The sequence below is a fragment of the Homo sapiens genome, chromosome 9 (assembly GCF_000001405.40).
Source record: "Homo sapiens chromosome 9, GRCh38.p14 Primary Assembly".
Taxonomy (NCBI): Eukaryota; Metazoa; Chordata; class Mammalia; order Primates; family Hominidae; genus Homo; species Homo sapiens.
Genome location: NC_000009.12, coordinates 127,837,589 through 127,859,945, shown reverse-complemented (window position 1 = coordinate 127,859,945; position 22,357 = coordinate 127,837,589). Strand labels below are relative to the sequence as shown.

At 53.9% G+C, this 22,357-nt stretch overlaps 1 protein-coding gene, 1 long non-coding RNA gene and 1 pseudogene across 5 annotated transcripts in view, besides 3 other annotated features; 2 read left to right on the top strand and 1 right to left on the bottom strand.

The window, feature by feature from the left end:
• Window positions 2,678–3,178: an enhancer, noted in NCBI's record as "H3K4me1 hESC enhancer chr9:130619047-130619547 (GRCh37/hg19 assembly coordinates)". NCBI's record gives its function as "activates a minimal SCP1, AML or CMV promoter by ChIP-STARR-seq in naive H9 embryonic stem cells {active_cell/tissue: H9 hESC(naive)}" and the evidence as "EXISTENCE:reporter gene assay evidence [ECO:0000049][PMID:30033119]".
• Window positions 3,179–3,679: an enhancer, noted in NCBI's record as "H3K4me1 hESC enhancer chr9:130618546-130619046 (GRCh37/hg19 assembly coordinates)". NCBI's record gives its function as "activates a minimal SCP1, AML or CMV promoter by ChIP-STARR-seq in naive H9 embryonic stem cells {active_cell/tissue: H9 hESC(naive)}" and the evidence as "EXISTENCE:reporter gene assay evidence [ECO:0000049][PMID:30033119]".
• Window positions 5,040–5,956: an enhancer, noted in NCBI's record as "H3K27ac-H3K4me1 hESC enhancer chr9:130616269-130617185 (GRCh37/hg19 assembly coordinates)". NCBI's record gives its function as "activates a minimal SCP1, AML or CMV promoter by ChIP-STARR-seq in naive H9 embryonic stem cells {active_cell/tissue: H9 hESC(naive)}" and the evidence as "EXISTENCE:reporter gene assay evidence [ECO:0000049][PMID:30033119]".
• Window positions 5,288–22,357, top strand: part of ENG (endoglin) — a 39,643-nt gene continuing 22,573 nt past the window's right edge. For 3 of the 4 annotated variants that reach the window (NM_001114753.3, NM_000118.4, NM_001406715.1), the window contains exons 1-2: window positions 5,288–5,657; window positions 16,701–16,852. In NM_001114753.3, the coding sequence (NP_001108225.1) occupies window positions 5,591–5,657; window positions 16,701–16,852 (219 nt within the window). In that variant the 5' untranslated portion in view covers window positions 5,288–5,590. Of the gene's footprint in view, window positions 5,658–12,810; window positions 13,004–16,700; window positions 16,853–22,357 lie in introns of those variants that run through there. The other variant, NM_001278138.2, reaches the window with a different exon arrangement.
• LOC124902279 (uncharacterized) lies at window positions 6,996–7,743 on the bottom strand. Its single transcript, XR_007061800.1, has 3 exons — window positions 7,654–7,743; window positions 7,203–7,261; window positions 6,996–7,068 (listed from the first exon to the last, which is right to left on the bottom strand). It is a non-coding gene; the product is annotated as an uncharacterized LOC124902279 (long non-coding RNA).
• RNA5SP296 (RNA, 5S ribosomal pseudogene 296) lies at window positions 18,724–18,834 on the top strand (annotated as a pseudogene).

The following is a 22,357-nucleotide window of genomic DNA, read 5'->3' as shown; positions in this document are numbered from 1 at the left end:
TTATTAAAATGTTTTCATTTTTCATTTTTATTATTTATTTGAGACAGAGTCTCGCTGTGTCACCCAGGATGGAGTACAGTGGTGCAATCTCAGCTCACTGCAACCTCCACCTCCTGGGTTCAAGAGATTCTCCTGTCTCAGCTTCCCAAGTAGCTGGGATTATAGGCACCCACCACCACACCTGGCTAATTTTTGTACTTTTAGTTGAGACGGGGTTTTGCCATGTTGGCCAGTCTGGTCTCAAACTCCTGACCTCATGTGATCCACCCACCTTGGCCTCCCAAAGTGCTGGGATTACAGGCGTGAGCCACCACACCCGGTCCTTCATTTTTTATTTTTTAGAGACAAGGTCTTGCTCTGTCACCCAGGCTGGAACACAGTGACGTGATCACAGCTTACTGCAGCCTTGAACTCCTGGGCTCAAGCAATCCTCCTGCCTCAGCCTCCTGAGTAGCCGGGACTGCAGGCTTTTACCACTAAGCCTGGCTCAAATCTGCATTTATAAGAAGCTTCCAGAAGAAACAAGACCACACTTTGAGTAGCAACAGTCTAGGGCATGACATTTTATGGCCGAGACTCGTTGGTGGGTAACAAAACCAACAGATGAGCTTGTGACGAGTAGTGAAAGAAAATGCAACAGGTTGGGGGTTACTGGAGGGCATCACAGCCGCAAATCTATCTACAGGACCACAAAATGCGTTTCCATTATTTGAGTCTGAGTCCCAGGGTCTGTGTTGGGACGTGACACCAGGGTCGCAAAGGTTTGCGAAAACCTGGCTTGGGAGTGAGGGTAAACAAAGAAGGAAGGGGCCAGCAACCAAGCCTGGGGGAACAAGGAGGAACCAGGGAGGAGACAGATAAGGTGACCAGGGAGGTGGGAGGAAAGCCAGGACAGAATGTTCTGGAAGCCAAGGGAAAAAGGCCTGGATTTCAATTATCCTCTGCCTCTTCCCAGCCCTGTGGCCTTGCAAACCTGAGCCTCAGTTTCTTCCATCGTAAAATGCTGACATGACAGCCTCAGCCACTGAAGTGGCTGCAAAGTGGCACTTGGCACAGGGCCAGGCAACCTCATGGATGGTGGTGCAATTCCAATTCTTGTCTTGCCCTTTGAACTCCTCCAGACCAGCAGGCTGCCCTCCCCTTGTGCAGATGAAGAAACTGAGGCTCAGAAAGTGGAAAGATCTGGCTGGGTGCGGTGGCTCACGCCTGTAATCCCAGCACTTTGGGAGGGTAAGGCGGGTGGATCACTTGAGGTCAGGAGTTCAAGACCAGCCTGGGCAACATGGTGAAATCCCGTCTCTACTAAAAGTACAAAAATTAGCCGGGTGTGATGGTGCATGTTCCCAGCTACTCGGGAGGCTGAGGCAGGAGAATTGCTTGAACCCAGGAAGCGGAAGTTGCAGTGAGCCAAGATCATGCCACTGCACTCCAGCCTGGGTGACAGAGTGAGACTCTGTCTCAAACAAACAAAGATCCTGCCTGATGCCACCTGGCCAGTGTAGGGCAGAGCCTGGGCACCCTGCTCCGCCCTGTGGGTCTGGCCCTGCTGTTATCAATGGCCCCTGGCTCCAGGCCAGTGCTGGAGACAGTCAGCCGCCTGGTGGGTCCCTGGGGGCCGCCTGAAATTCCTTCAGTGGCCAGTGGCCAGGGTGGACGTGCTCTGTCTTTTCCTGCAGCCCTGGCCTTCCTGGCCAGCCAGGAGGAAGAAAGAGCAGAAAGTGTGCATCTGCCCTCTGTGGGGTCCAGGCACAGGGGCCTGGCCATCAGCCACGCGTCTCTCGGGCGTGTGGACAGACGGCACCTGAACACATCCGTATCAGTCAAAGCCCCGGCAGGAAACAGATGGCACGTTCCAGTAGGATCATTAGAGGAGAGTTTGGTGAAGGGTCTGTTTACACAGGTGTGGTCGGGGTGTAGGGAAGCCCCAAGGGACGGTGCAGAACCCCAGGGCTGGCAGCGGCGTGGGCTGTGACCACCCTCAGCCTGAAGAGGCCAGGGGAGGAGCTGAGTCCACAGCTGGACAGAGCTGGGTGGAGGGGGTCCCCAACAGGACCGTGGCCTTCAGTGGAGGGAGGCCACCAGTATGCAGTGACCCTGCAGGGAAGGGGCTGGAAGACGGACCCTCCTCCTCCTGCCTCCTCTGACCTCTGCAGGGGTGGGGAAGTGGATGTGTCCCACAAGAGGGAGAGTGCAGCTGGGGGATGTAGAAGACAGCTACCCCAAGGCCTGTGCCCAGCAGGGAGGCCATGTGGCCACCAGGCTTCCTCGGGCAGGAGACCCAGTCCAGGACTGGCCTTTTCTCCTGGGAACCAATGACAAGGCCCACTTCTCTGGGCCTCCATGACCCCCACCCCTGCCTTGACTTCTAGGGTCCCTCATGCTTTCAGCAAATCCATCTCAAGAGCTGAAAGGCCCTGGGCTCTGTGCTGGGGACACAGCAGTGCAAAGGGTGTCAAAGTCTCTGCCTTCATGGGGCTTCTAATCAAGTAGAGAGATACATGCAGATGGCTGCACACAGGCTTAGGTGTGACAGGGAAGGTCAGGATGCTGTGGGAGCCAGAGGTGACTTCCGCTTCACCCCCCACCCGCGGTGGTCCCAATCTCTTCCTTCCTCCATGAGGTGTCTGGGGTCGGGGCCCCAGTTCTTCCTGGAGTCCATCTGGAGTCTCTCCTACTTTCTAGAGAATCCATTGGGTCTTGTTTACAACGTGGATGGGGACAGACTGTGCAGCGTGGAGGGAAGGGGAGGGAGGGAGTTTTGGGAAGAGCCTCCTGTGGGGTCCCTGTCACTGCCCCAGATGCCCCCAACACCCTGTGATACCTGCAGCCCCTGCCACATCTGTCCCTCACTCCAAACTCAGCTCAGGGGATGGTGGCAGGGAAGGAGGTGAGCTTGGACCCAGGCAGCCCTGGGGTCACCACCCTCCAGCTGGGGTTCCTCCTCTGTAAAGTGGAGGTATAACGGTACCCACCTCCTGGGGTGGCTGTGAGGATTCAGAGCTGATAAGGTGAACGCCTAGGGCGGGCCCTGGTGCAGAGAGAGCGCTCAGCTCCTAGGGCTGGATTAACTGTCCCTGGGGCACAGATCTCGGTCTGGGGCCTGTGGAAACCTCAGAGCCACCCCTGAACCCCCACCGAGCCACCCTTTGCCTCGCAGTGCCCATGGCCTTGTCTCCGAGGTTACAGGAAAAGGCAGAGGAGATGCCCTTCTCAGGGTGGCCCTCTGGGAGAGGACACTCTCCCTTGACCTCAAAGCCACGCTTGGCTGCAAACTGGCCAGGCAGCCACAAGGCTGGGCAAGCAAAACTATCCCTAATCCCCACCCAAAGAGCCACACCGACCCTCCCAGCCGCTGTGACAGCTCCTGCAGAGACAAACACACGGCCTACTCTTGTCACCCGGGCCGGCCAATAAGCACGGAGAGGCAAGGCCTCAGACCCTGGACAGACATCCTCCCTCCAGAGGCACCCAGGGCCTCAGCCTTCTCCTCCCTCCCTGGGCCTCAATTTCTCCACCTGTGACCCAGGGCAGGTGGATCCAGGGAGAAGAACCTTCTGGCTCCATCTCACCGTGGGTCCTGCCAGCACACACAAAGATTTGGCCTCTCAAAGCCTAGCTCTGCCAGCGTCCTTCTGCTCAAGAACTCTCCATGACTCCCAGTGGCCCTAAGGACAAAGTCCTGGCATTTGAGGCCCTCCCAATGCAGGGCCAGACTCTGCCTCTCCAGCTTCCTGTCCCCACCACACCCCTGCTGGTCTCACGGTGGTCCGACTGTTTCCTGCTTCTGTGCCTTTGCTTAGTCTGGCACCCCTGCCTGGCATGCTTTCCTCACCCCTTCTTCTCCCCAATCCCAACTCACCCAGTCTTTCAAAGGGCAGGCCTAAATACCAGGCCCTCCAGGTGGCCCAGGATTCCTTCTCTGAGCTTTCATGGGCCTGGCCCTGGGTGCTACCTGTGAGTAGTCCCACGGTGGGTACATAGTAGGTGCGCTTACTGTTTGCAGAATGAACATGGGACAGTTTGGGGACTGTCACCCAGCTCAGGGAGCACTGATGGGGAAGCATCTCCTGTATGTCCCAGGGCTCAGTGCTGTAGTGTCCTGACCCTCAGAAATCTCATAATGGCTTGGTCAGGAAGGCATCGTGCCCCACTTTGCAAACAGGGGGTGCTGAGAATTGAGGGGCCTTGTCCAAGGTCTCATGGCTAGGAGCAAGCAGAATCGGATTTGAACCCAGGGCCACGTGACTTCAGAAGTGCCATTAAAGTCCCCATAATTTGGAGCTGTCTTCTTTTTTTTTTTCTTTTCTTTTTTTTGAGACCGAGCCTCACTCTGTCACCTAGGCCAGGAGTGCAGTGGTCTGATCTCAGCTCACTGCAACCTCCGCCTCCTAGGTTCAAGTGATTCTCTAGCCTCAGCCTCCCAAGTAGCTGGGACTACAGGCGCACGTCATCATGCCCAGCTAACTTTTGTATTTTTAGTAGAGATGGGTTTTCACCATGTTGGTCAGGCTGGTCTCGAACTCCTGACCTCAAGTGATCCGTCTGCCTCGGCCTCTCAAAGTGCTGGGATTATAGGCTTGAGCCACTACACTCGGCCTGGAGCTGTGTTTTGTCGGTGAAGGATTTTCCACCCATGAAGGGGTCAGACGTGAAGTGTGTGGCCCTGGGCAGCTCCTCTGAGCCCAGAGACGCCAGCCCTAGCCGCCTTGCTGTGCCACTTTGGGACTTCCCTCCCTAGCCTGAGCTTCAGTTTTCCTGCCTGTTAGGCAGCCCCATGTCAACTGCACTTAGTAGGCCGGGTTTGATGCCCGACAAGACGTGAAGTGGTGGAGGTGGGCAGGATCCCAGCGCTACCATCTTCTTGAACCAGTGATCTCAACACATCGGATTTCTGTTTCCTCATCTGCAAAATGGGATCAGTGAGCTCAGGTGGGTCACAAATTCTACAGGAACTACTTTAGCCAAGACCGGCCCCCTGAAAGTTCCCCTCGGTGGGCTGTTAGGGTGATTGTTTTCATCTGTGGGGCTCCCTGATGCGTCCCACCCACCAGCCTTGGAGAGGGTGGGATGGGAGGGTGGGGTGCTTGGGGAGACAAGCCTAGAGCCTGGGCCCTCCCACCCCACTGCCTCCCCCCATCCCAGGGCCCCCCACCCAGTGACAAAGCCCGTGGCACTTCCTCTACCCGGTTGGCAGGCGGCCTGGCCCAGCCCCTTCTCTAAGGAAGCGCATTTCCTGCCTCCCTGGGCCGGCCGGGCTGGATGAGCCAGGAGCTCCCTGCTGCCGGTCATACCACAGCCTTCATCTGCGCCCTGGGGCCAGGACTGCTGCTGTCACTGCCATCCATTGGAGCCCAGCACCCCCTCCCCGCCCATCCTTCGGACAGCAACTCCAGCCCAGCCCCGCGTCCCTGTGTCCACTTCTCCTGACCCCTCGGCCGCCACCCCAGAAGGCTGGAGCAGGGACGCCGTCGCTCCGGCCGCCTGCTCCCCTCGGGTCCCCGTGCGAGCCCACGCCGGCCCCGGTGCCCGCCCGCAGCCCTGCCACTGGACACAGGATAAGGCCCAGCGCACAGGCCCCCACGTGGACAGCATGGACCGCGGCACGCTCCCTCTGGCTGTTGCCCTGCTGCTGGCCAGCTGCAGCCTCAGCCCCACAAGTAGGTGTCCAGGGACCCAGGGTGGGGAGACTCGGCCTCCGGTGCACGGACCAGGCCCCAAGTATTCCCGGCCTCCTTCCTGTATCCTGAGCTCACGCCCAGCAGAGCCATCCTTGGGGCTCTGGAGGGTCACCAACCCTCCCAGTTTGCTGGAACTAAATGGTTATGCAGGACTTTCAGTGTTGAAAGAAAGCCTCGGGCAAACTGGGCTGACTCTTTCACTTTAACCCTGGTCTCTGGCGTCTGCTCACCCAGCTGCGTTCCATTACTCCCCGGGAAGCCTAGGTCCCAGAATGCTGTGCAGCGACGGGAGAGTTTCCTGGCCTCTCTGGGCCTTGAGTTTCCCCATGAGGAATGGATGGGAAGGAGGGCCCACAGCCTGGGCTCTGAGCACCGTCTCTGGGTTCAAATCTCACATAGGCACTTCCTTGTGGTGTGATCCTGGGGGACTGCCTTCGGGCCTCTGAGCGAAGTGGGGAAGAGAACAGACTTCCCTCTCAGAGCTGCTGAGGAGGTGGGTGGTGAGGGATCATTGCAGAGAGGGCTCTGGCAGACTGGCCACTTCTGTGTTGTTTTATTTTTAGCTTTAAGTTCCTCCAGCTCACCTTCCCCAGGGCCTTTGGGCAGCTCCTCAAACCCTTTGAACAGGCCAAGGCTGCAGGGCCCTGCCCTGCCTCCCTCCTACCTCCCTGATCCCCAGAAAGGGTGCAGGAGTGGGTGCAGGCCAGGTTAGGGGTTCTGTGGGGCTCCTTGGCCTGGGGGCTCTTCCAAGGGGTCATGGCCTCTGCTGCTTTCTGAAACTGACCAGAGGAGGGGCGGTGAGGAGCAAGGGACCCCCAGCCCCATGTCCCACTCCCTATCCCTCGGCCACCTCAAGCCGCTGGCCGGTCCTGTGGACATCCTTTGACCCACCTGTGCATCCAGGGGCTTCCTGACAGATTTGGGGGAAGAGGGGCAGAAATGAGCTGAGAGTGTGGGGAGGAAGGGGAAGGAAAACAGCGGTGGGGCAGCCAACTTCTCCCCACCTCCCCACCTGATGGCATTTTAGAGTCCCTGATTCTGGGTCTCTAAAGCTCTGCCCACCACCTGATTGACAGGAAACTGAGTCTCAGACATATTAAGTGACTTAGCAGGGATTTGACTCCCGGCCTGCGGCTCCCTAAATGTTTGCTCCTAGTAAGGTGTGATAGGGCGAACCCTCTTAATGCGGCTCACAACGACCCTGCAAGATGGCTGCCATCATCATCCCCATTTTACAGAAGAGAAAAGGGAGGCTCTAACCTGCCAAGTTCACATGGCTAAGACGGAGCCCCTACCTGAGCTCCAAGATCTCCCTCTCTCGTATTTGTCGCTGCAGTAACACTCTCTTCCTCTTGGTCGTTAGAGAAAGGTCCATGCAGACATTTAGGGCCTGGTTTTAAAGGATCAAAGGCAGTGATATGCTGCTGAATAATTAACAACGGGGTGGGGAGCTCAATTTGTAGCGTTTGTGGATTTTCACAGCGTAAGTACTCCCACCCGGCTGACTTCAAGCCACCAACTCACCAAGTTTGGAGCTGGGAATCAGTGCCCGGTAGCACCTGGCGGTTGGTTCTCCAGAGTCTCTGCAGGCGCAGATCACACCGAGAGCAGAGATGACAGTCAGGGGTGTAAAACGATTAGAAAGAAATGAGTTTGGACATTCATGACCTTTTAAAAATATATAGTAATAGCTATGTAACAGCCAGTTGGAAAAACTCCTGGAAACGTATCCGTCTGTTCCTGTGAGCAGGTAGGAGCTGGTCCCAGTGCACCAGGAGTCACAGGCTCAAAGGTACAACAGACCATCAACCCAACTCATTTATGGTCTGGGAAGCTGAGGCCCATGGAAGGCAGAGGGGAGCCTGGGGCCAGGGCCTGGAAGCCAGCTGGGGGTAGGGGTCGGAGTGACCCTGACCTCCTAGAAATGGGTCTAGAATTTGGGGGCACCACTTGTAAGAATCTCCTAAAACTGTACCTTGCATGTGACTTGATACCCTCACAAATCAGCCTTCAGTAGTCAGCCTTCTAAAGTTATTCGTCCAACTCTGTAAAGATGCGTGGTCCGTGGGTACCTGTAACAAAAACCCGATAACTGGAAATCATCTAAGTGTCCATGAGCAAAGACTGTTAATAAATTACCACACGACGGAATGTCATGCAGCAGGCACCAAGAAGGCAGAGTCATATGAACACTGCCATGGACGGATGTCAGGGACACACTGTTAGGTGCCCAAACAACAATAATTCCATTTTGGCAACAATAAAATAGTAATAATGTACAATATGCACAGAGAAAATTCTGGAATAGAGTTTTCTATTTAACCCACTATTACTGTTCTCTGGTCTGGGGTTTTCTCTGTGGGACTTTCACTTTCTTTTTTAAATTTTTTTGAGACAGTCTTGCTCTTGTCACCCAGGCTGCAGTGCAATGGCACAATCTAGGCTCGCTGCAACCTCCGTCTCCCGGGTTCAAGCAGTTCTCCTGCCTCATCCTCTCGAGTAGCTGGGACTACAGGCGCCGGCCCCACACCCGCCTAATTTTTGTATTTTTAGTAGAGACGGGGTTTCACCATGTTGGCCAGGCTGGCCTCGAACTCTTGACCTCGTGATACGCCTGCCTCAGCCTCCCAAAGTGCTGGGATTACAGGTGTGAGCCACCATGCCTGGCTGGGACTTTGACTTTCTCAGACACACTTTCCTGTCATGTTGGGTTTTTTTGTTTTCTTTTGTTTTAGGGACAAGCAGGCCGGGTGCAGTGGCTCACGCCTCTAATCCCAGCACTTTGGGAGGGAGGCTGAGGCGGGTGGATCACCTGAGGTCAGGAGTTCATGACCAGCCTGACCAACATGGCAAAACCTTGTCTCTACTAAAAATACAAAAATTAGCCAGGCGTAGTGGTGGGCGCCTGTAATCCCAGCTACTTGGGAGGCTGAGGCAGGAGAATCGCTTGACCCTGGGAGGTGGAGGTTGTGATGAGCCGAGATCAAGCCACCGCACTCCAGCCTAGGTGACAGAGCAACACTTTGTATCAAAAAAGAAAAAAAAAGAACAAGCATGTAGAGATTTTTTTAAAGCAATTAAAATTAACCATATAGCTGCCTCAGCTTGCCCCTCAAAAAAAATAGAGAAAAGGGAAAAAATCACCTCGGAACTCCTTTATTGATACAGGTACCGTTAGTATGGTGGTAGATGGCTTACTAGTTTTTTTTTCTAACTTTTTAAGCTACTTTTAATCCAGATGGGTCCACATTTTGGGAGTCTTTTGTCTATTTCTTTCGAACCAGGTCTCCATGTTGTCCTGTGGACTCCATGACCATCCTCTTGCACTTCTGGAATATTCTGTCCCATCAACTTGTCACCGTTTGCTTATTGTTAAATATTTAGGTGGTTTCCCCTTTGTTCTAGTTATAAATACTACCACAATGCACAGTTTTGGTACGTGCACCTTTTCCTGTATTTTGGATTATTTCATGTGGATTGCGTCCCGGCAGCAAGGCTGCAGCGGCTCGTGGCCTGTGCTGGGTGGCTGGGATTGAAGAGTGTTCCTGAGTGTGGAGGATCCTTTGCTGGAGGACTTAAAGTCCCCATGCTGCTGGCTGTCTGTGTTGGAGTCTGGGACTTGCTGGAGAAGGGTCAGTGGCGCAAGAGCGAGACCACAAACACCTGTCTCTTAGAGGCTGCGTTCCCATTTGCTAGGAGGAAAAAGAGCCTGGAGCAGGAGCCGTGTGAACCAGGAGAGGGTGGGCTCCCCGAGACACGGGGGACGTGACCATTAGCATTCTCCCTCACCCCAGCCAGACAGACGTGACCCAGAGGGACAGAGGGACTTGCTTGTGGTCACGGATGTGTTGGTGCTGGGCCCTCGGGCGACAGACCCATTCTTTTGCCCCAGGGCTGGAGGTGGATCTGGGCAAGAGTGAGGCGGCCACCTCTCCTCTGTCCCCAGCATGTCAGGCATAATGCCAGCTCCTCCTTGCCTCTATCCCCAGTTTATAGATGAGAAAATTGAGGCTTGGGACAAATGACAGGTCCAGATTTCAACTCCAGGCCGTCTGCTTCCAAATTCAGCTTCTTTTCCCCACAACTTTTGTGACCTGAATGCTGGAGACCTAAAGAACTGTTTACCCTTGGCTCTGGGACCCTGCTTCCTAGTTCCAGCCCAGGCTTTGGGGCACCAGCCTTGGAGGCTGAAGGGACCCTCAGCCAGGGTTCAGCTGGCTTCAACCCCTGTGGCAGGAGTGGGGGTGGGATAAAGAGATAATATAACAACTGACATTTATTCAGCACTTACAGTATGCTAGACGCTGCTCTAAGCGTGGTATGTGTACTGTCAGACTTAACGCTTGCAAAAGCCCTACAAAGGAGATACTCTTTCTGCCCCCATTTGACAGATGGGGAGACTGAGGTACTCGTATAACTCAGTCAGGTGAAGAAATTTACCCAAGTAACACTGCCCTGAAATGAGCCACTGGGGCTCAAGCCCTGGGCCTAAGCACTGCAGTGTGCTGCCACAGTGGAGAGGATGGGGATCTTCCTCTTGCCTGATCTTCTCCCCGCAGGCACTCAGCCTTTTCTCTGGTCCCCATAACGGCCCTCCCATCCGGGGTACAACCCCTGGGACCCTGCCTTTACCTTCAGCAGCCCCATCTATGCCCTGCTCTGTCTTCCTCCTGCCTTCATCCTTAGGTGAAATCTCAGACTGTCAGACCCCTAGTAGAACTTAGAATATGTCCTATCCACCCCCGCTCTTCCCCACCCACTAGCCATAGGGAAACAGAGTCCCAGAATGGTGGGGGGACTTGATGTGGGTCACCCAGCAGGTCAGAGGCAGCCCTGACCAGCCAGTTCCACAAATGGATGTTTGTGGTGTTAGAAACAAAATGCTTGTTCCTCAGTGCCGCAAAGAAATAGCACTTGAACATAAATTTAATCTTCTCAGCAAGGCAATTTTTACTTCTACAGAAGGGTGCGATTCAAGAATGGAGTAATGGCGAGAGCACATCTGAACAAGGGAGGGGAAGGGGTTCTTACTCCTGACGCAGGTAGCCCCTACTGCTACGTCGTTCCCCTACGGGCTAGTGTTGGACCGCACAGTCTAAGCTAATTCCAGTTAGCTATTTTAGAGAGAGCAGGGGTATGAGCCAGAGTGGCGGGGTGAGTAGTTTGGCGGGAAGGATGGTTAGGAACAGGTAACTAAAGGTGACTTAGGTCAAAGCAGGTGACCAGGGGTTTGTGAGGTCAAAGCACATGACCAGGATGAGTCAGGATGGAGCAGGTGACCAGGGGAACAGATGTGAACTACTGATTAAAACTGGTGGAAAAGGTTGTTTACTGAAACCATGAGGAAGTTAAACTTTAAAATGGAGGACAAAGAACTGAACATACTGACATACTGATTCTTTGAAGAGAAATCTAGAACTCACTGTATCCAGTGGAAGTGGATGTTTGCTCTGAGCCCTGGACTAACTGATTGGGACATGGAATGCTGTGGACTCTCCTTGTCCTGGAAAAACTCACTGTCTGCTGGGAGTGCAGACACACTGACAAATCAAAACAGCACACCTGGGCATGTATGGTCTGGTTCTCCAAGGACACCCAAGGACGGATGCACCTAAGAAAGGAGGGACTGGCTTCAGTGAGATTTTCAGGACAGGGTTTTGAAGGATGAATAGAAGTTTGCTAGGGGCTGGGCATGGTGGCTCATGCCTGTAATCCCAACGTTTTGGGAGGCTAAGGTGGGAGGATCACTTGCGGCCAGGCATTCAAGACCAGCCTGGGCAACATAGCAAGACTCTTTCTCCACAAATATTTTTAAAATTTAGTTGGGCATAATGACTCATACCTGTAGCTGCTCGGGAGGCTGAGGCAGAGGATTGCTTGAGGCCAGGAGGTGGAGGTTGCAGTGAGCTATGATTGCACCACTGCACTCCAGCCTGGGAAACAGAGCAAGACCCCGACTCTCCAAAATTAAAAAAAAAAGGCCAGGTGGTCAAACAAAGGATGAGTGTTGGTCTGGGAAAGGGCATGGCAGAGGCAGGAGCGAGGTGTGTTTAGGGGAAGAGCCCACATATCCCCACTGACTGGGCATAAATAATTGTGATAGTAGTCACCAGTTCCTGAGCAACCCCCACTTAGCAGGAGCCGGCCTAGCGCTGTGCAGGTGTAATTTACTGGCCTGCTTGCCGACTCCATGGGAAGCTGTTATGATGACCCTCATCCCCATGTTACAGATGAGAACACTGAGGATGGAAAGGCAGCTGGCAGGTGGAAGAATCAGGACCTGAACCTTTGGCATCTGTCAAATCGCTGTGCTTTTCACCTCTACTGTAGGCTGCAGTGCAGGAACTTGACCCTGCAGGCATCGTAGAACCAGGGGGGAGCCCGGGGCCAAGGCATGCTGAGACCTCCTGGTGGCTGGGGGCAGTGGCTGGGCTGGATGCTGGGAAACCTGTGAGGCTGTAATTGGGCCTGAAAAGGGTAAAGAGTGGCCCGGGGGTACTGAACAAGACGGGGCAGGCATTGCAGCAAGAAGGACCCTTGTTGAAACGTATCTTCCTTGGGAGGCTGAGATGGGTGGATTGCTTGAGCCCAGGAGTTTGAGACCAGCCTGCGCAATACGGCGAAACCCCGTCTCTACAAAAAATACAAAAATTAGCTGAGTGTGGTGGTCCACTTGTAGTTACTCAGGAGGCTGAGGCATGAGAATCGCTTGAACCTGGGACGGGGAGGTTATAGTGAGCCGAGATCGAGACACTGTACTCTGGCCTGGGTGACAGAGTGAGACTCTATCTCAGAAAAGAAAAGGGGGGGTGGCAGCGGGAAGAAAAGTATCTGTCCTAGTATGATGAAATAATATTCACAGCTTCTGTGTCTGGGGCACCTACTTAGTACCAGGCACTCAACAGGGGTTACCCCATCAAACTGACACACTCAGCCTGTGAATGCCTGCTGCTTGCTGGAGCCAGACTGTCTGGGTTTAAATCCAGGCCGTGACACTTAGTAGCTGGGTCACCTCGGGCAGCTGGTCTTCAGTTTCTTTAACCGCCCTGGTCTTCAGTTTCCTGGAGTGTGCATGGGTGTAATAGCGCCGCCCACCTCACAAGGCTGCTGTGAGGATCAAATGAGTTCACTCGTGTAAAGCTGCCTAGGCTCCCAGTAAGCATGATGGGAGCATCTGCAGTGATTATTGGTGGTCTGCAAATGGGGAAACTGAGGCTCAGAGAGGTTAGGCTTCTGCTCAAGGTGACCAGCATTTTAAGAGGCAGAGCTGGGATTTGATCCAGGCCATCTGGCTCCAGAGCTGTTTTTCTTGATCATCCTCCAAGGTGCTGAAGGTAGCCCTCTGGAAATCTGGGAGGTGCTGTGTGCACATGGGTGGCGAGGGTGGAGAGGGGACAGTGGTGGGAGGTGGCTTCTGGGTCTCTCACTTGGGGTTCCAGTCACCCAGGCCCCCAGCGGCTCCTCCTCTGACCCAGTCCCGGGAGGCCCTGGCGTTTCCCTTGGTGCCAGGGGATTGTTTTCAACTTGGTCTGGGCCCGCCTCAGGCTCCGGGAGACAGGCCCAGGCGTCACACTCCCTCCTGTCTCCCCATTCTCGTCTGCGGGGTGGGGGCGGCCAGGATTCGAAAAGGCCCCAAAATAAATGGACCTCTTATCTGATCTCCCCGCCAGGCCTGTTATCTGATCATTACATAATGGCCAGGCTTGTGGCCTCTCCCGCTGGCTGACGGCATGGAGGAGGCGGCCCCAGGCGGCCCCAGCAATCCGGGAGGAACTGGGGTTCCTGGAAGTCTGGGGAGGGGGCAGGGAAAGTCCCAAAGGGAAGGAGGGAGGCGCTGCGATAATCTGCAGGCCAGACACTGGGTCATGTTGGGAGACGCGGGTCCGAGGCCCGGCCTGGTCAACCATGTGCTGTGAGACTTTGACCTGTCCCGTCCCTCCAGACCTCAGTCTCCCCATCTGAGTAGGAGGGGCTTAAGCTAGGTAACAGCCAAGGAACCTGCGCTCACCGATGAGGAAAGGAGAGGGTGGGGAGAACATGGGGGCTGGTGGGTCAGAGGGACTGGAGACAGGAGATGGCACCAGCCCTTGATTTTGTTGGGGTGAGGGAGATCCCAGTGACCTCTCCATCCCAGAGGACCGTCACCTGGAGGCCACCCCATCCCGCCACTTCACCCCACCCCTTAGAACAGTCAATTCTACAGTGACTGAAGTCAGTCAAATAATTGTAATTAAGAGAAAGCTGCCGGCCAGGCATGCTGGCTCACTCATGGTGGCTCACACCTGTAATCCTAGCACTTTGGGAGGCTGAGGCGGGAGGACTGCTTGAGCTCAGGAGTTTGAGACCAGCCTGAGCAACATAGTGAGACCCAGTCTCTACTGAAAATTTAAAAAATTAGCCAGGCGTGGTGGCGCACAACTGTAGTCCCAACTACTTGGGAGGCTGAGGCAGGAGGATCGCTTGAACCCAGCAGCTCAAGGCTGCAGTGAGCTGTTATCACACCACTGCACTCCAGCCCAGGAGACAGAGGGCAACCTTGTCTGAAAAATAAACAAATAGAAATTTAAGAAAGAATTGCCATGTGCCCAGTCTCATGGAGTCCTCCCAGCCACCTCTGTGGATCATGTGGGCTCTGTTGTCATTTTATAGACCAGGTATTGAAGCCCCAAGAGGTGAAATCATTCACCAGAGCCACATAGCTGGTAAGCATTGGGCCTGAGAGGCAAACCAGGTCAGCCTGGCTCCAGGGAGCTTGCTTTTAACCAAAATGCCACTATGTCCAGGCACTCCAGAGTCCCTGGGACATGTAGGATAGGGTCAGAGAGACGACATATAAGGCCTGGGCCCCCGTGGCAGCCAGAAGTCCTCATCCAGATCTTCTCCTTCCCAAGACAGAGCTGGGAATGGCGTTGCCATGGCAAGGGGTGACCATCTCACTTCCTTTGCTGACTTCTGGGGCCCAGAGCCCAACGTGCTGTGGGAAGGTGAGGAAGGAGGCCGGTGAGGCTCCAGACAGCCCAGGGTTCAGAAGAAGCCTCCCTGCCCCCTCCTCTGAGCCGGCCTTGGCTGGACATGAAGCCAGTCTCTCCGCGCCCATCTTTGATCTCCAAGAAAACAGGAAGTGAGCGCGACAAGATGGAGACACAAACTTCCAAACAGTCTCCCCTTCTGTCCTCCTTCCCTCCTCCGGAGCCCCCTTCCCCCGGCACATTCCTCAGGACGAGGTGTAGGAGCCTCATTTCCTTTTCCGACCCTGCTGGGTCAGGGTGAAATTCCATTCCTTTCCCTCAGGACCTGTGTTTCCGGGCTCTGCGGTCTGCTCTGGCAGCCTCCAAACCTGGGCCGCCTTCTCGGCTCGCCCTGTCCCTTGGGGCTAGGGAACTCTCAACCCCTTCAGACCATTCCTCCCACCACCTTGAGGCAAGAGAGGGGAAGCTTTGTCTCCTGAGCTCAGCTCCTGCCTTACCTGGAGGGAGACTTGGGTTCACACCTAGGCCCTGCCATGAAGTTAGGGTTGCCAGATACATCAAATGAAAATCAGCCGGGTGTGGTGGCTCATGCCTGTAATCCCAACACTTTGGGAGGCCGAGGTGGGAGGATCTCTTGAGTCCAGGAGTTCAATACCAGCTTGAGCAACATGGTGAAACCTCATCTCTATAAAAATGCAAAAATTAGCTGGATGTGGTGGTGCATGCCTATAGTTCCAGCTACTCAGGAGGCCGAGGTGGGAGGATCACTTGAGCCTGGGAGGTTGAGGCTGAGGCTGCAGTGAGCTATGATTTTGCCACTGCACTCCAGCCTGAGCAACAGAGCAGAGTCTGTCTCAAAAAAATAAAAAATAGGCCAGGCGCAGTGGCTCATGCCTGTAATCCTAGCACTTTGGGAGGCCAAGGCAGGCGGATCACCTGAGGTTGGGAGTTCAAGACGAGCCTGACCAACATGGAGAAGCCCCATCTTTACTAAAAATACAAAAAATTAGCCAGGCATGGTGGTGCATGCCTGTAATCCTAGCTGCTCGGGAGGCTGAGGCAGGAGAATCACTTGAACCCAGGAGGCAGAGGTTGCAGTAAGTCGAGATCACACTGTTGCACTCCAGCCTGGGCAACAAGAGCAAAACTCCGTCTCAAAAAAATAAAATAAAATAAATAATAAAAAATAATTTTTAAAAATAAATAAAAAATAAAAATATAGGAGGCTGGCCGGGCACGGTGGCTCACGCCTGTAATCCCAGCACTTTGGGAGGCCGAAGTGGGCAGATCACCTGAGGCCAGGAGTTCGAGACCAACCTGAGCAACATGGAGAAACCCCATCGCTACTAAAAATACAAAATTAGCTGGGTGTGGTGGTGCATGCCTATAATCCCAGCTACTTGGGAGGCTGAGGCAGGAGAATCATTTGAACCCAGGAGGCGGAGGTTGCGGTGAGCCAAGATCACACCATTGCACTCCAGCCTGGGCAAGAAGAGCAAAACTCCATCTCAAAAAAAAAAAAAAAAAAAAAAAAAAAAAAAAATATATATATATATATATATGTATGTGGATGTGTGGGTGTATATATGTATATCTATATATGTATATATGTATGTATATATGTAGATCTATGTATATGTGTGTGTATGTATATATACACACACACATATATACATGGGGCCCAGTGAAATCCGAATTTCAGATAAACAATGAAAATTTAGTATAAGTACGTTCCATGCAATATTTGCAATATACTAATACTTAAAAAAATGCACTCATTGTTTATCTGAAATTTAAATTTAGCTGGGTGTCCTTCTATTCATCGACCCTATACGTAGTAGCGCTGTGACCTTGGGCAGGAGACGTTTCCTCTCCTAGCCTTGGTTTTTTTTAATCCATGGAACGAATATAATGATATCCACCTCATAAGGTGGCTGTGATGATGCAGGAAAGCCGTTAGCTCATGTCAAGTCCCTAGGAGACGTTTGGAAAGTAGGAGTCATTGTCATCACCTTATTCTCACCTGGCCTCTTTCCGGATGTTTCTCCAACAGGTCTTGCAGAAACAGTCCATTGTGACCTTCAGCCTGTGGGCCCCGAGAGGGGCGAGGTGACATATACCACTAGCCAGGTCTCGAAGGGCTGCGTGGCTCAGGCCCCCAATGCCATCCTTGAAGTCCATGTCCTCTTCCTGGAGTTCCCAACGGTGAGTGTCCCATGGCAGGGTCGGGTGGGGGCTCAGAGGAAGCTCCAAGGCAGATGGGGTGAGGGGTGCCTTCCTTGTGGCTGTCCCTGGGGCAGTGGCTGAGTCCTCGTTAGGCCCCCTGCCAAGAGAGTGATGTGGGCATCTCACAGGGCCCATAAGAGGTGGCATTTCTAGGGGCAGGGTCTGGATCAGGGCAGTCTTTTGGGTGCCACCAGAAGACTCAGGTGGGAAGAGCTGAGTAGAGAAGAGCCAGATGGGTGGGGGGGACCAGGTGAGTGTTGCTTATGCACCTCCAATGATGGAGACCTCACAGAATCTCAGAAGAATGCAGCTCCTCTCTAGGGAGCTTGGACTTTGAAAAGTGCTTCTTGGGCCAGCCACAGTGGCTCACGCCTGTAATTCCAGCACTTTAGGAGGCCGAGGCGGGTAGATCACGAGGTCAGGAGATCGAGACCATTCTGGCCAACATGGTGAAACCCCATCTCTACTAAAAATACAAAAATTAGTTGGGCGTGGTGGTGAGCGCCTGTAATCCCAGCTACTTGGGAGGCTGAGGCAGGAGAATTGCTTGAACCAGTGAGTTGGAGGTTGCAGTGAGCTTGAGATTGTGCCACTGCACTCTGGCCTGGTGACAGAGTGAGACTCTGTCTCAAAAAAATAAAAAATAAAAAAATAAAAATAAAATAAAAATACAAAAATTAGCTAGGCATAGTGGCGCATGCCTGTAATCCCAGCTGTACTTGGGAGGCTGAGGCAGGAGAATCGCTTGAACCCAGGAGGTGGAGGTTGCAGTGAGCCAACATTGCACCACTGCACTCCAGCCTGGGTGACAGAGTGAGACCCTGTCTCAAAAAAAAAAAAAAAAAAAGAAAAGAAAAAGAGAAGTGCTTTTCAGTTGAGCCCAGATCTTTCTCCCTGGAATGTCCCCTGCTGAATATCTGTGACCCTCAGAGATCCAAAGGCTGCTGCCGGCCTGGAGACGATTCTCCCCAGGAGACCCCCACTCCCAGCCCACCATCAGTTTGTCTGATACGTCTGTCCTGAATAATAACAACACCTTTGTTAAGCGCTATGTGCTAGAGACTGTGCTAGGGCCGACTCTATGCCAGGAATTAAGCATCTCACATGTATTAAGCCTCCCAAGGCTCATCTGCCAGGGTCTGTTATTATCCCCACTTCTTGGAGAAGGAAACTGAGGCTGGCTGAGAGCGATGGAGTGACGTGCCCAGGGCCAGAGTTCACACCAGATCCCTGGGGATGCCAGAGCCAGCCTGCCACTTGGTTCCCCACGTGGATCTCAGTGTTCAGGTGGCTTCTGGCCTGTTGGACTGGAGATTACACCTGGTTGATGTGGCCTTTGGTCCCGATACTGACTTCGCCGTGTCAGCTCCGGGTAAACTTATGGCCAATCTGCCCCCAAAACTGTTAAGTTGCCTTGCGTTTGTGCAGTGATAAGAAAGTGCTCAGACCACCAATATCGGGGGACCCTGCTCCCCACCGCCCTGCCCTCTACGAGGACTGTGGGCTTTGATAATTTCCAAATCATAGATAGTGCCAAACACACTTTGTGTGGTTTCCATAGGCATTGTCATTTTTTTTTTTCAAATTTGGTAATGATATTCAAAATACGACTGCCTCTGTTAGTTCGCATTGTTTGTTTTAATGTTCAGGTCCCTGTGCCTCCTCTGGGTGACTGGGATCCCCCAACCCTAATTGCTCAATACTGGGCCAGGGTGAGAGGAGGGCCCCTAGGCAGGTGTCTAGGTCTATGGGAGATAGGTGTGTAGATAGCCAGCCAGGATCCAGGGGACTGGTGCATTCTCACGGGGCACAGGGCCAGGGCACTCCAGCTGCTACGGGATTAGGCATGGCTTGTTACGGCCACACCATCCTGAACACATCCGACCTCATCTGATCTTGGAAGCTAAGGAGACTTGGGCCTGGAGGAAGAAACATCATGGATGTCCAGGAGCTCACCAAGGAAGGAGGTGGTGTGGAAGAGCACAGAATAGAGTGAATGCGGAGGCAGAGGGAACAGGCTCTGGGGTCATCAGGTGGCAGGAGCTAGAGGTTCCCCAGCAGGACAGGGGAGATGGCAAAGGCCTGTCGCCATATTAAGAAGTTTGATCTTTATCCCGTGGGCAATAACAGTTCTTGGAGGGATTTTAGGGGCATGGCAGGGGGCCACTGTAACTCATGCCATATTCCAAGGATCCTTGAGTTCATGACAACAAAATCTCCCTGTTAGCCTCTGCCTCTTCTAGAGAACTCGCTCCAGGGAGCTTCCAACTTTTAATTCAAGGAGCCAGGCTGCAGGCTCCAGGGCTTTGAGGGATGTTCATTTGAGGAGGTGGTAGAGACATCTGGGGTCCAGGAAACCCAGGGTTCAGTCCTGGATCTGTCCCTGGCCAGCACCTCGCATAGCATCTGGTGTGCAGAGGGTGGTCCTTCTCCCCACTTGCTGGTAGACACACCTTTCTCGGACTCAGGAGCTCACCTGAGAACACAGAGTAGCAGAACCTGGCCCAGGGGCCTGGCTTACACCAAATCACTCTGTTTGTTTGTTTTTTGTTGTTTTTGTTTGTTTGTTTTTTGCCTCAGACTCCTGTAGCTGGGATTACAGGCGTCTGCCACCATGCCCAGCTAATTTTTGTATTTTTAGTAGAGACAGGGTTTCACCATGTTGGAGAGGCTAGTTTTGAACTCCTGACCTCAAATAATCCGCCCACCTCGGCCTCCCAAAGTGCTGGGATTACAGGCATGAGCCACTGCGTCTGGCCCCAAGTAACTCTTGAACGTGTGAGTGAATGCACGCATGCGTGCACAAATGTGTGCGCCGCTGTATGACCTTGATGCAGGGGTTGAGAACACAGGTTCTGGAGCCAGGCAGCCCTCCAGCTGAACTGTGGCTCCGCCTCTGAGAGCCACATCGCCTTGGGCCACCTCCGAGCTTTGATTTTCCCACGGGAAACCTGGACCCATTAGCAGCACCTACCTCACAGGTGTGTTGTAAGAATCCAGCAGGACGGTGCAAGCAAAACACCAAGCGCAGGACCTGCCTGGAGTGACGGCTCAGCGTATGGTGGCTACGGTTATTGTTATTATTATTTCTCTCTGGGTTCCATTTCTCCTCTGTGAACATCCCCATTTTGCCAGGGTTGTTACCGTTTACAGAATGTCTTCGTATCAGTTGAATAATTTGAACCTCAATGGTTATTGCTACAAGATCAATGGGGCAGGTCAGGCGCAGTGGCTCACACCTGTAATCCCAGCACTTTGCGAGGCTGAGGCAGGCAGATCACTTGAGGTCAGGAGTTCGAGACTAGCCTGGCCAACATGGCGAAACCGCATCTCTACTAAAAATACAAAAATTAGCCAGGCGTGGTGGCAGGTGCCTGTAATCCCAGCTATTAGAGAGGCTGAGGCAAGAGAATCGTTTGAACCCGGGAGGTGGAGATTGCAGTGAGCCGAGTTCGCACCACTGCACTCCAGCCTGAGCGACAGAGCAAGACCCTGTCTCAAAAACAAAACAACAACAAAAAAAAGATTAATGGGGCAGGGCTGTGAATTCATTTTCAGCAGGGCAAGCTGAGGTCCAGCCTCATGGAGCTGGGCCTTCCTCCTCCTGCTGCTTCTTGTCTCCCTGCTCTGAGGGTTGAGCCCATGATGCTGCCAGCCCCTACTGCTGTGACCACTGAGGACCCTGTGGTTTCCCTGGGAGGCACCTTCCTCCCCAGGCATCCCCTAAGAGTGGGGTCTAGAGCTCATAGTCCCCATTGCGCAGCCCTCACCAGGTGCCACTCTGTGCCCAGCCTGTGTTGATGATGCAGACAGAAGGTAGAGCCAGGGAGGCAGAGGTGGCATCAGCAGCCCTGGTATGAGTGGTGGGATCAGCAAATGGGGCTTCAGGGGGCCGCAGGTGATGGGGTGATGAGCACTGAAGGTAGAGGAGGGAGGGGCGTTAGGGAAAAGGCCCCTGGTGTCTAGCCCAAGAGCAGGGTAGAGGGCATTCCAGGCAGAAGCCAGTGCACAGCAAAGGCCTAGCGGCATGGGGCTGGACGTGGTAGTGGGGGTGGTGGCTTTTAGCAGCCAGCCGGATCCCTCCTGACCTATGGCCGGCTTCTTCGATCTCTGGCACAGAGAAGTGGCTTTCCCGTCCATCCCTCAGAATCCTCAGATTTCCTGTGGGTGGGTGGTAGATGGGCGGTGGCAGCCGAGAGCCTTGGGGAAGTGCCGCTCAGTGCGTGTGCTGGGCAGGTCTGCAGACAGCCCCGCTGGGCAGGGGCTGGATCTCGCTGGGTCCCTGAAGGGCAGGCCGGAGCCTGGATTCCGGGAGGGGGCCCAGGGTCACATCCTGACCCTCGGAGACAGGAAACCAGCCTGGTGTCTCAGCAATTCCCGTCAGGCTGACTGGGCCGATCTGCTATCCTCCTAACAAATGCACAGGCTGCCAGGCCAGGGCAGAGCTGGGTCAGCACTGATTCACCCACTCCTGGGCAAACTTGGGGCAGCTGAGACCCCACCCACCCCTGAACAGACACAGCCTGTCAGGCCCCAGCACTGACTCACTCTTGACCAGAGGGGCAGGCAACACCACTCAGGCAGAGAGAGAGAGCCGGGAGGGACCTTAGCTCCCCCAGACTGTCCTGGGAGGCAGTGGGAGGCCATGGAAGGCAGTACAGCCCTCAGACTTGGGCAAAGGGGACCCCTGCCTGGGCTTGGGGGAAGCAGTCTCCCTCTGGCCCTCTGCCAATGGCAGCCCTCTCCCAGGGTGGGGACTCTGTGGGGCCAAAGGGATGTACCCCCCTGAAACCTGCACCCCTCCCTTCTAGATGATGCTCTGGGTACCCAGGACCCCAAAATCCCAAATGGCTCTGAGCCTCCTCTCAGGGCTGCAGGGATCTTTCCTGTTCCATCCTCCAGGGGAGCACTGCATGGCTATGTGAGCTCCCCCAGACCTGAAGGATGGTTGAGTTGGCTACTTGGGGAGGCAGGCATGGTGGAGTTTGGGTATCCGGGCTGAGCTGTCCACATGTGGACACATGAGCACCCTTGCTGGCTGTCAGAACCACAGTGATGAGAAGGAGAAAGCACTGGGGCCAGAGGCTGCCATTTGTATTCTTGTCTCAGGCCTTGCAAATATTAGAGGCAGGCTTGCTGAAGGGGCAGGATTGGGGGTTGGGGAGGGTCAGACAGGCTGAGCAGGGATTGTGCCTGCCCTCTTACTGCTGAATCTTTGGTGTTAAGCTCGAAGTCAGCCCAGGAATCAATATCTGTTGGATGGATGGATGGATGGATGGATGGATGGATGGATGGATGCATTCATGCATGGATGAGAGGATGGATGGATAAGGGCGGGAGGGAGAGAGAATAAAAGAAAGGAAGGAAAAACTGTACATTCTTATAAGCATTTGGTGATTGGCTATTCCCAAGTGGGCTGATGATGTTCCTTGCTGTTTATGTCTGGTCGTTCGGAGGTGTTGGTTTGTTCTCTGCCAAGCTCTT